Source organism: Homo sapiens, chromosome X (genome assembly GCF_000001405.40).
Source record: "Homo sapiens chromosome X, GRCh38.p14 Primary Assembly".
In the NCBI taxonomy this organism is placed as follows: Eukaryota; Metazoa; Chordata; class Mammalia; order Primates; family Hominidae; genus Homo; species Homo sapiens.
In genome coordinates, this window is record NC_000023.11 from 86,303,255 (window position 1) to 86,320,660 (window position 17,406).

The window sequence follows — 17,406 nt, forward strand, 5'->3', positions numbered from 1 at the left end:
GTTTCCTCACTCCTAAAACTGGACACGTTCATGGGTCTGTAATCTGGTTTTATGAGAACTCTGAAAGCAGACATTCTTTTTGCGTTCACTTTTTGACCACAGAGCTTTCCGTTTCCATTTGTTATATTGGCTATAGAGGGTGAGGTTAAACAAAAAGCAATATGGGTCCAAATGTGAAGTAGAACATATTAGTCTGAGCTGTCCAAAGACAGAATAGACTTATTTAAACAAATGGTGCATTTACCATCAAGTGGAAATGTTCAATCAGAGGATGGATGACCAGTTAGTGGGGTACTGAAGAGAGGACTCAAGTATCAGTTGGGAAGTGGGGTACACCAGATGACTTTTAATATTTCTTTCTACCTTTGGATTTTATGTTTCTGCAAATCTCATCAATATTTCATTCATTCATTTAACAAAAGCAATCTACCTGTAATGATATATAAGCACATATGTATAATTATGTGAACATACTATATATATATATATCTTTCTGTACCCATAACCTGACTTATAGAGTGAATCTTGCAAGAATTTCATCTATTAAAAATAATAAATACTATTCAAAGCGATCTACAGATTCAGTGCAATTCCTAGCAATGACATTCTTCACAGAAATAAAAAACACAATCTGAAAATTCGTATGGAACCACAAAAGACTCAGAATAGTCAAAACAATCTTGAGTAGAACAAAGCTGGAGGTATCACACTACCTGACTTCAAAATATACTATAGTTATAGTAACCAAAACAGCATGCCATTGACATAAAAACAGACTGATAAACTACTGAAACAAAATAAAGAGCCCAGATAAATCCATGCATTTACGGCCAACTGATTTTTGTGCCAAGAACACACAATGGGGGAAAGAACAGCTGCTTCAATAAATGGTGCTAGGAAAACTGGATATCCACATGTAGAAGAATGGAACTAGACCCCTCTCTCTTACCCTACACAAAAATCACCTCGGAGTTGCCCTGGCGACAGCCTTCCCCTGACTACTCCTCTGTCTCTCCAGTGAAAAATGGGACCCTGCTTGCCCACTGCTCAGAAGCTGCAAGCTGTGTACTCATGAATTTTGGAGCCCATTTGGACTTTCATAATCAGTGATGGCAGTAAAGGAATCAACTTTGAGAGCTACTGAGTTTTGGTTCTCTCATCAGGTGTATTTACGTTATTGGCAACATTACCATCATGTCATGGCTTGGATGCAAAGCCACCAGAATGCCTGTAGGAAGGCTGTGGAATCCTATTTCAGTATTCCATGGTCATTTCCTCCTGCAGTTCTTCCCTGAAGAGCTTACGATAACCAGGCTGGATATCCTATGTCCTTCTCTGACCATCACATGGCCTGGCAGGACTCCTACCTCCGTTCTACAGATTTCAGAAGGTCTGGACAGCATCCACATGACAGCAGTAGGATCCAGGCATCCACAAGAGAAGACCAAGCTTAGCCTAAAGAGGAGGAGATGGAGAGAAAGTCAGATGGGGTGGTAGAATGCGACCTAAGCAATATGGAAGTCACCCAGGACCTCTGCCAGTACTTTGCAGAGACCCAGAGGCACAGAGAAGACCAATGGTAGCAGCAGCAGCTGGATGCAGAATACCTGGATGACTACATGAACGCTGACCACGACCTGTACTACAACATCTACTGGTCAGTGGAGCCCCTGACTAAGAGGCCCAGTGAGCAGCAACAGACTGAGAATAAAACATTTGTTTGGGAGAGTGCCACCAAGATCGAGGCCATGGAGGCTGAAGTGCAGCTGAGCTTTGACAAGCACTGTGACAGAAAAGCAGCCCAAGTATTGGCTGGTCATCACCCTGAAGTTCTGAGCACTGGGCACAGGGACCCCTGAGAGTGCTTTCTGACAGAGTCACCAGCCTCACCCTTTTTGGGGGGTACACGCTCTATATCTCTCCTTCTGTACAATTCTCATGGAAAGGAGAATTTGTAGTGAGGCACAGCATGTTCACCAATGTCCCAGTTGGCCTGTCATGGGTGTATGTACTATGCCAGCTCCTTAGCGGTCAGCCAGATGTGTACTGTTGACAACATGTGAAATTTTCTCCTGATATAAAATGATAATTTTGTATATATTACACTGTTTTTTGATGTTGTCAATAACAGTTCAATTCATTAAAGTTCTTGCCTAGAAAAAAAAATAAACTCAAAATGGATTAAAGACTCAAATGTAAGGCTCGAAACTATAGAACTACTAAAAGAACAAGCACAGGAGAAATGCTTCATGATATTGTTCAGGGCAAGGATTTTTTGGGTAAGACCCCAAATTATAGACTACAAAAGCAAAAACAGACAAGTGGGATTTCATCAAACTAAAATGCTTCTGCATAGCAAAGGAAATAATAGAGTGAAGAGACAACATATAGAATGGGAGAGAATATTTATAAACAATGCGTCTGACAAGGGGTCGATATCAGGAATATATATAACAAAATCGAACAACTCGATAGCAGAAAAAAAAAACACCCTAAATAATCTGATTTAAAAATAGGCAAAAGACCTGAATAGATATTTCTCAAAAGAAGATATACAAATGACACATAACCAGCAGGTATATGACAAAATTTTCAACATCACTCAACATCAGGGAAATGCAAATCAAAACCACAATGAGATGTCATCTCACACCAGTTAGAATGGCTATCGTCAAAAAGACAAAACAACTAACAAATGCTGGCAATGATACGGTTAAAAGAGAACTTTTATACACTGTTGGTGGGAATGTAAATTAGTTTAGTCATATGGGAAATACTATGGAGGTTTCTCAAAAAATGAAAATTAGAACTACATATAATTTAACAATCCTACTGCTGAATATATATCCAAAGAAATTGAAATTAATTTGTCAAAGAGATACCTATACTCCCGTCTCTATTCCAGCACTATTTATATTAGCCAAGATATGAAATCAACCTAAATGTCCATCAAAAGATGAATAGCTAAAGAAAATGTAGTATTTATAAACAATGGAATGTTACTCAGCTACAAAAAAGAATGAAATCCTGTTATTTGCAGCAACATGGATAAACCTGGAGGACGTTATGTTAGGTAAAATGAGCCAGGCACCAAAGGACAAATATCACATCATCTTACTCATATGTGAAACCTAAATAAGTTGATGTCTGTGATGGTTAATACTGAGTGTCAACTTGATTGGATTGAGGGATACAGAGTATTAATCCTGGGTGTGTCTGTGTAGGTGTTGCCCAAAAGAGATTAACATTTGAGTCAGTGGGCTGGGGAAGGCAAATCCAGCCTTAATCTGGTGGGCAAAATCTAATCAGCTTCCAGGAAATACAAAGCAGGCAGAAAAACATGAAAAGGCAAGACGACCCTAGCCTCCTAGCCTACATGTGTCTCCTGTGCTGGATGCTTCCTTCTTTCAAACATTGGACTCCAAGTTCTTCAATTTTGCAACTTGGACTGGCTCTCCTTGCTCCTCAGCTTGCAGACAGCCTATTGTGGGACCTTGTGATTATGTAAGTTAATACTCAATAAACTCATATATATGTCCTATTAGTTCTGTCCCTCCCAGAGAACCTTGACTAATAAAGATTTTGGTACCAGAAGTGGGGTGATTCTAGAGGAACATAATATAAATGATGAAGTTTTTCCCTTGGTTTTGGGGTTTCTGAAGTTGGCTGCTTAATATGAGTAGACCCAAAAATGCTAAGGACTCTACTTTTAATAGCATGGAGAACACCAATATTCCTTGGCATGAACTATTTAGATAGTTACGCAAAATAAATGCATTTGACACTCCTGATTCACTGCTCATGAAAGGCAAGGAGTTTAGTGACTCTACACATAATATCATTGGCCATATATGGAGAACCAAGGAACATAATGAATCTGGTTGTTGCTCCGAAGTTCAGTGGAAAAAATGATGAAACAAAATGATGAACTCAAGGATTCTGTCTCCTGGCTTCAGAAGCAGATACTGAGCCTCAAATCTGCTAAGATTGCCCTGAGTGAGAGTCTTATCTCCTATTGAGAAAGAGCTGACAATGTAGAAAAATAGACACAAGTTCTTATCATGAAAGTGGTTGACCTGCAATGAAAGATGCATGGACTTCCTTGCCAGGTGTCTACTGTTAAAGTGAGGGCATTTATTGGAAAATAATGGGGCCCTGCAACTTGGAATGGGGATGTGTGAGAAGACCCTGATGAAGCTGGGGACACTGTGTTTGTAAATTCTGATGAAGCTTTTTTGCCAGAAGGAACAGCTTTCCCATCTCCAGTAGTGGCAACATCCCCTCCCTGACCCATGCTGCCATCAGCCTTTCCACCTTTGTCTGAGGAGATAAACCCTGCACTGCCTGAGGTAACAGTGATGGCCTCCAGTGAGGCAGTTGCCAGACAGGATAATGTTGATTCTCCTCAGAAGCCACCCCCAACACCTCTGTTTGCTTCTAGACCTATCACTAGACTAAAGTCATGGTGGGCCCCTAGAGGTGAGGTTGAAAGTGTGACCCCTGAGGAGGTGTGCTACACTTGAAAACAACTGTCTGAGTTCTCCAAATTACATAAACAGAAATCTGGAGAACAGGAATGGGAATGGATACAAAGGGCATGGGATAATGGTGGAAGCAACATAGAATTGGATCAGGCAGAATTTATTGATTTGGGCCCACTAAGTAGGGACTCTGCACTTAATTTTGCAGCTCAGGGAGTTAAAAAAAGGTTTTAATAGTTTACTTGCTTGGTTAGCTGAAATATGGATTAAAAGATGGCCCACTGTGAGAGAGCTGGAAATGCCTGATCTCCCTTGGTTTAATGTAGAGGAAGGGATCCAAAGGCTTAGGAAGATTGGGATCGTAGATTGTATTCATCACTTTAGACCTGCTCATCGCACCTGGGAGGGTCCAGAAGATATACCCTTGACCCATGCCTTGTGAAATAGATTTATGAGAGCAGTACTTGCATTTTTGAAGAGCATTATAGTTGTCCTTTTCTGCATATTAGGTTCCCTAAAGGTGGGAACCACAATTACTCAGCTACAAAATTTAAATACAATGGGAATAATTGGATCCTTAGGTGGCAGAGGCCAAGTGGCAGCACTCGACTGTCAAAGGCAAGGTGGGCATAGCTACCATCATGGACAAAAGAGGCAAAGCAGCAATCGTGTAGAGCTCTGGCATTGGCTAATTAATCACAGTATTCCTAGAAGTGAAATTGATGGGAAGCTTACTGCATTCCCACTTAAATTATACAAACAGAAAACTTGTAGGTCGAATGGACAAAATACTAACTTGAATTATAAAAACAGAGAATCATGGCCCCTTAATCAATTTCCAGACTTGAGCCAGTTTACAGAACCAGAAGCTCTTGAATGAAGGGGAGGCCGGGTCCCCTTGAGGAAGGACCACACTACATTACCAACAATTTATGTAGTGAATCTTTCACCCATCTTTCCCCAAGGAGACCACTGGCCTTTTACCAGGGTAACTGTGCACTGGGGAAAGGGAAATGATCAGACGTTTGGGGACTAGTGGATACTGGCTCTGAGCTGATGTTGATTCCAGGCAACTCATAATGTCAATGTGGTCCTTCAGTTAAAGTAGGGGCTTATGGAGGTCAGGTAATTAATGGAGTTTTAGCTCAGGTCTGACTTACAGTGGGTCCAATGAGTCACTGGACTCATCCTGTGGTCATTCACCCAGTGCCAGAATTCATAATTGGCATAGACATACTTAACAGCTGGCAGAACCCCCACATTGGCTCCCTGACTGGTAGGGTGAGGACTAATTATGGTGGGAGAGGCCAAATGGAAGCCATTAGAGCTGCCTCTACCTAGAAAATTGTAAATTAAAAACAATATCACATCCCTGGAGGGATTGCAGAGATTAGTGCCACCATTAAGGACTTGAAAGACACAGAGGTGGTGATTCCCACTACATCCCTGTTAAATTCTCCCATTTGGCCTGTACAGAAGACAGATGGATCTTGGAGAATGACAGTGGATTACTGTAATCTTAACCAAGTGGTGACTCCAATTGCAGCTACTGTACCAGATGTGGTTTGATTGCTTGAGCAAAATGACACATCACCTGGTACCTGGTATGCAACCATTGACTGCACAAATGCCTTTTTCTCCATTCCTGTTTATAAGCCCCACCAGAAGCAATTTGCCTTCAGCTGGCAAGGACAGCAATATACCTTTACTGTCCTACCACAGGGGTATCTCTACTCTCCGTCTTTGTCATAATATTTTTGGAGAGCCCTTAGTCCCTTTTTGCTTCCAGAAGATATCACACTGGTCCATTACATTGATGACATTATGCTGATTGGATCCAGGGAGCAAGAAGTAGTAAACACATTGGAGACACTTGCATGCCAGAGGATGGGAAATAAATCTGACTAAAATTGAGGGATAATCTACCTCAGTAAAATTTCTAGGGGTTCTGTGGTTTGGGGCCTGTTGAGATATTCTAAAGTAGAGAATAAATTGCTGTATTTGACCCTCCTACAACCAAGAAAGAGGCACAATGCCTAGTAGGGTTATTTGGATTTTGGAGGCAATACATTCCTCATTTGGGTGTGTTACTCCAGACCATTTACTCAGTGACCCCCAAAGGCTGCCAGTTTTGGGTGGGGTCCAGAACAGAAGAAGGCTCTGCAACAGGTCCAGGCTGCTGTGCAAGTTGTCTGCCACTTGGCACATATGACCTAGCAGATCCAATGGTGCTTGAGGTTTCAGTGTCAGATAGGGATGCTGTTTGGAGCCCTTGGCAGGCTCCCATAGGGGAATCACAGCAAAGGCCTCTAAGATTTTGGAGCAAGAACCTGTCATCTTCTGCAGATAACTACTCTCCTTTTAAGAGACAGCTCTTGACCTGTTACTGGGCTTTGGTGGAAACTGAATGTTTGACTATGGGTCATCAAGTCACTATGCAACCTGTACTGCCTATCATGAACTGGGTGCTTTCTGACCCATCTAGCCATAAAGTGGGTCATGCACAGCACCATTCCATCATCAAATGGAAGTTGTATATACATGATTGGGCACGCTTGAGCAGTCCTGGAGGCACAAGTAAATTACATGAGGAAGTAGCTTAAATGCCCATGGTCTTTTCACCCCAGCCACCCTGCCTTCTCTCCCCCAGCCTGCACCAATGGCCTCATGTGGAGTTCCCTATGATCAGTTGACCGAGGAAGAGAAGAGAAGACTAGGGCCTGGTTCAGACAGCTCTGCACGATATGCAGGCACCACCCAAAAGTGGACAGCTGCAGCACAACAGCCCATTTCTAGGACATCCCTGAAGGACCGTGGTGAAGGGAAATCTTCCCAGTGGGCAGAACTTTGAGCAGTGCACCTGGTTGTGCACTTTGCATGGAAGGAGAAATGGCCAGATATGCGATTATATACTGATTCATGAGGTGTAGCCAATGGTTTGGCTGGATGGTCAGGGACTTGCAAAAAGTATGATTGGAAAATTGGTGACAAAGAAATTTAGGAAAGGAGTTTGTGTATGGACCTCTCTCAGTGGTCAAAAACTGTGAAGATATTTGTATCCCATGTGAATGCTCACCAACAGGTGACCTCAGTGGAGGAGGAGTTTAATAATCAAGTGGATAGGATGACCCATTCTCTGGACACCACTCAGCCTCTTTCTCCAGCCACCGCTGTCATTGCCCAATGAGCCAATGAACAAAGAGGCCATGGTGGCAGGGATGGAGGTTATGCATGGGCTCAGCAACATGAACTTCCACTCACCAGGGCTGACCTTGCTATGGCCACTGCTGGGTGCTCAGTTTTCCAGCAGCAGAGATCAACACCAAGCCCTTGATATAGCACCATTCCTTTGGGTAATCAGCCAGCTACCTGGTGGCAGATTAATTATATTGGACCTCTTCCATCATGGAAAGAACAAAGGTTTGCCCCCACAGGAATAGACACTTACTCCAGATATGGGTTTGCCTATCCTGCATGCAATGCTTCTGCCAAGATTACCATCCATGGACTCACGGAATGCCTTATCCACCATCACGGTATTCCACACAGCATTGCCTCTGATGAAAGCACTCTATGGCTAAAGAAGTGCAGCAGTGAGCTCAGGCTTATGGAATTCACTGGTCTTACCATGTTCCCCATCATCCTGAAGCAGCTGGATTGATAGAACGGTGGAATGGTCTTTTGAAGTCACAATTACAACACCAACTAGGTGACAATGCTCTGCCAGGCTGGGGCAAAGTTCTCCAGAAGGCCATGTATGCTCTGAATCACCATCCAATATATGGTACTGTTTCTCTCGTAGCCAGGATTCATGGGTCCAGGAATCAAGGGGTGGAAGTGGAAGTGGCACCACTCACCATCACCACTAGTGAGCCACTAGCAAAATTTTTGCTTCCTGTTCCTGCAACATTACGTTCTGCTGGTCTAGAGGTCTTAGTTCCAAAGGGAGGAACGTTGCCACCAGGAGACACAACAACAATTCCATTGAACTGAAAGTTAAGTTCGGCACCTGGACACTTTGGGCTCTTCCTACCTTTAAGTTAACAGGTTAAGAAGGGAGTTACAGTGTTGGCTGGGGTGATTGATGCAGACTATCAAGATGAAATCAGTCTACTACTCCACAATAGAGGTAAGGAAGAGTATGCATGGAATACAGGAGATCCATTAGGGCGTCTTTTAGTATTACCATGCCCTGTGATTAAGGTCAATGGGAAACTATGACAGCTCAATCCAGGCAGGATTACAAATGATCCAGACCCTTCAGGAATGAAGGTTTAGGTCACCCCACCAGGAAAAAAACCACAACCTGCTGAGGTGCTTGCTGAAGGCAACAGGAATACGGAATGGGTAGTAGAAGAAGGTAGTCATCGTTACCAGCTACAATTATGTACCGGCTGCAGAAACGAGGACTGTGTCATGAGTATTTCCTCCTTCTTTTGTTAAAAACATGTTTCTGCATGTATACACTTGTAATAAGAAAATATTTTGATTTTTTTCCTTTTCCTTTATCATGTAACATAAGATTTATTGACTCCATATCAGCATTTAAGTATTGTTAACTTTATGTAATAGTATTTGGGTTGGGAATTGGTGCCATTTTAGTTGTACGAAGGATAGCTGTATTATGTTAAGTGTAATTATGACCTCACTATTTTCTTTATTTGAAGATTATGTATGATCTCAGGACATGTCTATGGGGTCAAGTTGACAAGGGTGGACTTATGATGGTTAATACTGAGTGTCAACTTGATTGGATTGAGGAATATACAGTATTAATTCTGGGTGTGTCTGTGTGGGTGTTGCCCAAAAGTGATTAATATTTGAGTCAGTAGGCTGGGGAAGGCAGATCTACCCTTAATCTGGTGTGCAGAATCTAATCATCTGCCAGTGAATATAAAGCAGGCAGAAAAATGTGAAAGGCATGACTGGCCTAGCCTCCCAGCCTACATTTTCTCCCTTGCTGGATGCTCCCCGCTCTTGAATATTGGACTCCAATTTCTTCAGTTTTGGGACTTGGACTGGCTCTCCTTGCTCCTCAGCTTGCAGACAGCCTATTGTGGGACCTTGTGATTGTGTAAGTTAATACTCAATAAACTCTCCTATTAGTTCTGTCCCTCTCAGAGAACTCCTAGAAGTACAGAGTAGAATAGTGATTACTAGAAACTGGTGAATCAGGAGAGGAGTGGGAATGGAGAGAATTTGTTCAACTGGTACAAAGATAATGCTAGATAAGAGGAATAATTTCTGGTGTTATATTGTGCAGTAGGGTGACTACAGTTAATAATAATGTACTATATATTTCAAAGTAGCTGGAAGAGAGAATCTTGAAATGTTATCATAACATTGAAATAAGCTAATCACCATGATATGATTATTATATAATATATACATGTATTGAAACATCACACTGCACCCCATAAACTTGTACTATTATATCAGTTATAATAATTTAAAAACTCATATTAAAAATCTTATAGATCTAGTTCTAAAAAAGCTGAAATGTAATATGCAATGTTCCTTATTTTTAAAAGACAAATGGTTACAATGTTTCTGTTTAGAATAAAAGTAGATCTGTACCTTAATATGACATTGCACAGGAGGTTTCAGATACATAGTAAGTAGATATTTTGGGATGGTGCATATTCAAAGTAAATGAAACTGCATAAAGAATGGTGCCTGGAATGAATTATCCTCCACTTGACACTTTCTTCTTCATTTCTCAATTTAAAACAACTGAGCGGCCATAGGTAAGAGCTCTGAAGAAAACACCGACTCAACTTGAATGCAGGTCCTACTATTACTACCTGTGAAACTTGGAAAGTAATTTACCCATTTCAAACATCACTTTCCTCACTTGTAAACTGAAGGCAATTACAGACCTGCATCCTAGGGTTATTATTAGAATTAAATGATTTAATACATGGGTCTTTACACTATTATTTATATCTATGTTCTTTTTGTTCCTTTTTTAACATATGATCCATTAGCAACTTCAAAAATTATAGTAGAAGATTGATGGTATGAAGACATACCTCATTTTATTGGACTTCACTTTATTGTGCTTCTCAGGCATTTCCTTTTTAACAAGTTGTGGCAACCCCACATTAAGCAATTATTTCATCACTATATTTCTTATAGCATGTGCTCACTTTGTGCCTCTGTGTCACATTTTGGTAATTCTTGCAATACTGCAAATGGTTTCATTATTATTACATCTGTTATGGTGATCTGTGATCAGTGATCTTTGATGTCCTCTGTAATTGATTTGGAGCACCACAAACCATGCCCATGTAAAATGGTGAACTTAATAAACGTGTGTGTTCTCACTGGTCTACTGCTTGGCTATTTCTTAATCTCTCTCCCTCTCCTTGGGTCTCCCTATTCCCTGAGGCACAACAGTATTAATACCAGGCCAATTAATGACCCAACAATGGCTTGTAAGCATTTAAGTGAAAGGAAGAATCACACGTCTCTAGCTTTAAATCAAAAGCTAGAAATGGGCCAGGTGCCTTAGCTCACACATTTAATTACAACACTTTGGGAGGCCTAGGCGAGAGGATCATTTGAGCCTAGGAGTTTGAGACCAGCCTGGGAAATATAGCAAAACCTCATCTCTACAAAAAAATTAAAAAATTAGCTGAGCATACGGGTTCATGCCTGTAGTCCCAGCTGCTAGGGAGGATGAAATAGGAGGATCACTTGGGCCCAGGGGGTCGAGGCTGCAGTGAGCCATGAGTGTGCCACTGCACTCCAACCTGGGTTACACATCAAGACTCTGTGTGTTAAAAAAAGAGGAGAGAAATGATTAAGCTTAGTGAAGCTTGTGGAAAACCTCTAAGATAGGCAAAAATCTAGGCCTCTTATGCCAAACAGTTATCCAGATCTTGAATGCAAAGAAAACGTTTTTGAGGAAAGTTAAAAATGCTACATCAGTGAACGTATAGATGATAAGAAAGCAAAACAGGCTTTTGCTGATGTGAAGAAAGTTTGTGTGGTCTGGCTAGATCAAATCAGCCACAACATTCCCTTAAGCCAAAGCCTAAACCAGAGCAAAGCCCTACCTCTCTTCAATTCTATGAAGGCTGAGAGAGGTAAGACGCTGCAGAAGAAAAGATGGAAGCTAGCCAAAGTCAGTTCATGAGGACTTAAGGAAAGAAGCTGTCTCCACAATATAAAACAGCGAGGTGAAGCAGCAAGTGCTGATTTAGAATGCAGCTAAGATAATTGAGGAAGTTGTTTGGTTACATTAAACAACAGATTTTCAATGTAGATGAAACAGTCTCATAGGGGAAAAACATGCTGTCTAGAACTTTGTAGCTGGAGAGAAGTCAATGCCAGGCTTCAAAACGTCAAAAGACAGGCTGACTCTTTTGTTAGAGTCTAATGCAGTTGATGACTTCAGTTGAAACCAATGCTCATTTACCATTCTGAAAATCTTAAGGACCTTAAAAAATATGCTAAATCTACTCTGCCTGTGCTATGCAAATGGCACAAAACTTGGACGACAGACTGCACGTTTGTTTATAGCACGGTTTACTGAATATTTTAAGCCCGCTATTGAAACCTACTGTTCAGAAAAAGAAGATTTCTTTCAATATATTACTGTTCATTGACAAAGCATCTGGTCACCCAAGAGCCGTGATGGAGATGTACAGGAGATTCATGTTGTTTTCATGACTGCTAACATAGCATCCATTCTGCAGCCCATGGATCAAGGAGCAATTTCGATGTTCAAGTCTCTTTTTCTAAGGAATACATTTTGTAAGGCTATAGCGGCCACAGATAGTGATTCATCTGATGGATCAAAAAGCCCATTGAACACCTTCAGGAAAGGATTCACCATTCTAGTTGCCATTAAGAACATTTGTGACTTACAAGAGGAGGTCAACATCAATAGGAGTTTGTAAAAAGTTGATTCCAGCCCTCAGGGATGACTGAGGTATTCAAAAGACTTCATTGGAAGATGTAACTGCAGATGTAGTGAAGCTGCCTAGCTGTCTGGAGTAAATACTGAGGTTCTTGCTCTCACGGCCAAGGAAATTGAGGGTCGTGGACACACACACACACACACACACACACACACACACACACACACACACACACACAGAGAGAGAGAGGGAGATTGGAGCAGGAGTTTAATAGGCATAAGAAAAGAACCGCTCTCTGTCATAGAGAGGGGTCTGAAGTGGGTTACCAAGTTGTAGTAAAAATATCAGGGATTTTATAAGTGGACTAGTGAGGAGGGGGTGTCTTATCTTCCTAAGGCCCAAAGATTTAGTTGGGACCAGGTGTGCTATCTTTTTAGAGCAGAGTTTTCTATCAGCTCTCACCCTGTTCCTTGATCATGTAGGCAGACTCAGTCTGTCCTGCTCTGTGCTGTTTTTTGTTTGTTTGTATTTTGTTTTTTGCTTATCTGGGAGGGAGAGTTTCTGTGCCTGTTCCCAGACATCTTCTTACAGCTGCAGGCATCCCCCCTGTGTCTGCTTCTAGATTCCCTATCTTAGTGTGCCTGTGTCTGCTTCTAGATTCCCTATCTTAGTGGGCCTAAGGGGAAAGGAAAGTGCTTATTAAGGCGCACTGTTTTTCCTGGGGCTCATTGTATAAGTGTGAAGTTTGGTGCTCACCCAGGAGACTCCCCACTCCTTCCGTGCCTGAGTTGTTTATCTGTGTTTTACAGCCTGATCTTCCAGGCTGTCTTTTTCTGGAAGAGAAGTGATTTCTTTGAACTGCATGAGGTTAGAAAGGGAGCTATTTATGCTTTTTGTTAGAAGGAAAGTTTTCTGCAGGGGACTCTTTTCACTTGAACTGTCTACCCAAATAATTTCTTTCTATCTTCTACAACTTATTTCTCCTCTCAGGAATGGAATACCTAATGGCTGTTAGGGGGAATTGGGCGATGACTTCTTCAGGCTACTTTCTGCTGGAGGGAGGTGTTGTGTGGGGAACAGCAGCTAGGGCTCCTCCTGAGGTCGATCTCAGTGTCTCTGGTAGACGTAAATGGCATTTTCATTTTTGGCTCCATTTGCAGCACCATCTGAAGCTTGATGGCTTGTAAGTGAGAAGAGATAACCTTTACAAGGAGGTTTAGAATATAGGGTCCAAGGCTGGGCACGGTGCCTCACGCCTGTAATCCCAGCACTTTGGGAGCCGGAGGCAGGTGGATCGCGAGGTCAGAAGTTCAATACCACCCTGGCCAAGATGGTGAAACCCCATCTCTACTAAAAATACAAAAATTAGCAGAGTGTTGTGGTGGGTGCCTGTAATCCCAGCTACTTGGGAGGCTGAGGCAAATAACTGCTTGAACCCGGGAGGCAGAGGTTGCAGTGAGCCAAGATTGCACTACTGCACTCCAGCCTGGGCAACAGAGTGAGACTCCATCTCAAAAAAAAAAAAAAAAAGGAATATAAGGTCCAAATGTGAGTATTAAGACTACCATTATTAGCGGGGGCACTGTAGGCCATAACCATGACAACAGAGTTTATTTGATACCTGTGAACCATTTAGATGGTTTGTGTTGTTGTAAGTGGGTGTATGGGGCTTGGCTTTGTTCAGCTTCCTTGGTCTTACTTTCTCCAAAAAAACGAAACCTCTGGGTTATAGGTTATCTGGCAGGATTTGCAGGATAATTGCCCAGAACTAGAACATTGTTCAAGATTTTCTACATTACCCATCCCTTTTTGTTTTCCTTGAGACACAGCTGGAGATTTGTGGTTGGCTCACAGGAATAAGCATGGTTAGTTTAAAATGTAGGCAAAAACTTAAAAACAACTGAGACTAGAAGTTAATAGAAGATTTATGAAGTTTTAAAAGATAATTTTTCTCTTTAGTCCTCAATTTTGTTAAAAACAACTTATGATAGGACTGAGCTGTTTGCAAAATAAACTTTAGTCTTATACTTGTCCTGATTATTTGCATAAAGCACAGCAAGAGTGATCACCTTTACATAGGCCTTTTTTATTGGCTTTGATGGAACTCTGTTTCACAAGGAATCTCAGATGGGACTTTTTAAAGCCAAGCCCAGCCATGGGTTTGTACCTTCAAATACCTGTGAATTGGGTAAACTTCTTTTTTCTTGAGGTTCCAAGAGCGTGGGGTTCCTAGGCCTGTTAGTGACATTGTTTACTCACTGCAGGTTAGGAACCCTGTCTACACAGGGGCTGTGTAGACAAGGTGTGAGGCCAGTTCCCCAAGGGGCTTTTATTGGCTTTGCAAGTCAAGCTTGACTCCTTAAAGGGAAATACACCCTTTCAGTCAAAGTCTTGGTAAAACAACCAGTTTTTCCAATTGTGTCCTGTTGCAAAACGAAATGGATTCTTATTGCACTGATGCAAACAACTATATTGTTATAAGTTGAGAATACTTGCAACCAGTTTCTGAATTCTAGAGGAACCAGGCAGAGCAAACAAATATGTTTCAAACCTTGTTTACAGGAGTATACCTTACTTAGTTGTTAAAGGCTGTAGTTAGCTCAAGACAGGTTTCCTTAAGGGTCAGCAATGTTCCAAGCATAAGTCAAAAAATTGCTTTAGTTTTCTATAGTTCAGTCCATTCCATTAACTCTCATTCTGCTTGATATTTGTAAACATTTCAGCTTTTTATGAGTCCTGTACATTTTTCTGTTATCAGAAACCTGCATTTAAGAGCACCTATTAAAATTCCACAGATGATTATAAACTATTTTTTATTTTGAACAAGATGAAAACAAGATAAAAATTGTCTGTAAATGACAAAATGTCCAGGGTGGTTACAATCAAGAGCATGATTGACAAATTTGATTATTACCATTGGCTTACAATAACCCAACATAACAACCTTAATTGTGATTAATAGCACATATTTTGACACTAGAACCTTAGACATCCCATACAGTTTTGGAACATATTTTAATATTATTCTCTAAGATATAACCTGGAGTGCATTAGACATCATTTTGGCAATTCCATGTACCTAAACATGTTAAATAATCCTGTTTACCTCTCTTCCGGATGCTCCAGGGGCCCTCTGTAGCACCCAAAAGCTAGGGATCAGGAAAGACAACCTTGAGACTAAAGTTTGATTTTGGGAACCTGTTAAAGATGTTCAAAATTTAAAACACTTGGTATTATGAAATAGAATTTTAGATTACCATTAGTTACTTATTTTTCCAAAACGATGAGTCAAAAATTTGAAAAAGCAAAAACCACTCATCAGCTTTTTCTATTACACGAAAAGCATGTTCAAGAGAGGAAGTTAGATTTTACCCTTGCATTAATTTGCTATTAATGTTAAACCTAATTTTTTAATGAAACCTTATAGACAATTCTATTCAATCTTAACCAGTTTGACCATAAGGTGAGATTTTTACATACCTGTTATAATTGATGAGTTTTGCTAAAGAGCAGATTAGCATTTTAAGAAAACCTTGTTGCGCTTTTATTTCAGAGTTTAATTTACAGAAAAAAATACCCTTCTGAATTTTGTTAATAGTTTCACACAGAGTTTCCTTTGCAAGATTAATTTTTACAATCTTTTCACAATTTGCTTAAACCTTCCACTTTAATTTAATTTAAGACAATTCTTTATTTCTAGGGAGAATGTACATGTCCATGCCTTCTTATAATCTTTAACTAAAAACATCTTTTACTGTTTTTTTTACTCACCTCGTATGCAAATCCATGTTCAGTAGTCTCAATTACATGTCATAGCTCTTAGCAATTTTTCACTTCAATGTAAAACCTGATACGTTGTTTTAATTATGTACTAGATACAGATAAAGTATGACTCCTTTCAGCATAGTTAGGGTCATGGTTACTTCCATATGTTCCTAGGCCTTGCCAATTGTGAAGCAGGTAAGTTGACAGTTTTTAAAGGCCAAAGAAGCAGTTACAACCTTAAAACATTTAGCAAACCTAGTATCTGACCTGTATAATTTAGACCACATATTTACACCTTTGAAGACGTTTGTATTTTACCAATAATTCCTAACACTGTTTTTATTTTTAAAGATTAAAGTTCCGTGAACTGAAAGGTACCACAGCTTTTACTTTTCTCTTAAAAATATTTGATTTAAGTGCTTATTTTTCTTAGGAAAATTAATTAGAGCTCTTTTTAAATAGACACTACACACATAACACATATGTAACCACACAGACAAACAGAAGAAGATCCAGTAGTTATAAGATTTTTCATTTGCTAATTTCCCAATTGGATTATTGGCCTGCTGGTGAGACCCTTTAAGAACAGGGCCAGGAAGACAGTTTCCAGGGCCTAATAACCAAGCATAGCCAGAAGACAAAGACAGATTTTGAGAGGTATTAATTCACCTCTAATTCCAGGAGTTCCATGAGGAAAATAGAGATTTTTTTTCCAAAATGGGATTTGTGGCAACTTTTCTGTTTTCCCTAGGAGTCCCTGGCCACCAGAAGTTATTTTAGGGTCTTTCATGCATGCACCAAGGGTGTCAAGACACAGTGAAAAAAAGTAATACAGTTGACTGAGAAAAAAACCTTTTCCAGGAAAACTAGATCTATGAAGAGAAAAACATAAAGCCTTTAAAATATACCCATAGCTTGGATATCCACTTTCAATTAAGCTGAGCGCTCTTTAAGAAAATCCTTTTTCATTAATTAAACCATTACAGAGAATGTAAACAGTGATTCTTACCATTTTTTTCCCCAATTTGCACCACTACCTGTTCACAGTCACATTTAGTTTCTTCAGTTTTCTCTGGGAGAAAGTGGCTGGGCTCAGGCAAGGGCAGTTTTTCAACTGGACTGCAGATCCCTTTAGCAGCAAAGCTTGATAATTGAGGAGGCAATTGTCTGTTAGCTAAAGCCTTTCCTTAAAGGCCAGCAGTCCTGCCATATTGTGTGGGGTGTAAACAGTTAAGTTATTCCGCATGGTTAACCTAGTGGCCTCTGGCACCAGCAAAACCACTACTACAACT

The 17,406-nt window shown here is 40.6% G+C and overlaps 1 protein-coding gene and 1 pseudogene across 8 annotated transcripts in view; both read left to right on the forward strand.

Annotated features, from left to right (window-relative positions):
• Positions 1 to 17,406, forward strand: part of DACH2 (dachshund family transcription factor 2) — a 684,152-nt gene that overhangs the window by 154,804 nt on the left and 511,942 nt on the right. The gene's annotated exons all lie outside the window — the stretch shown is intronic.
• Positions 971 to 1,851, forward strand: GEMIN8P3 (gem nuclear organelle associated protein 8 pseudogene 3; annotated as a pseudogene).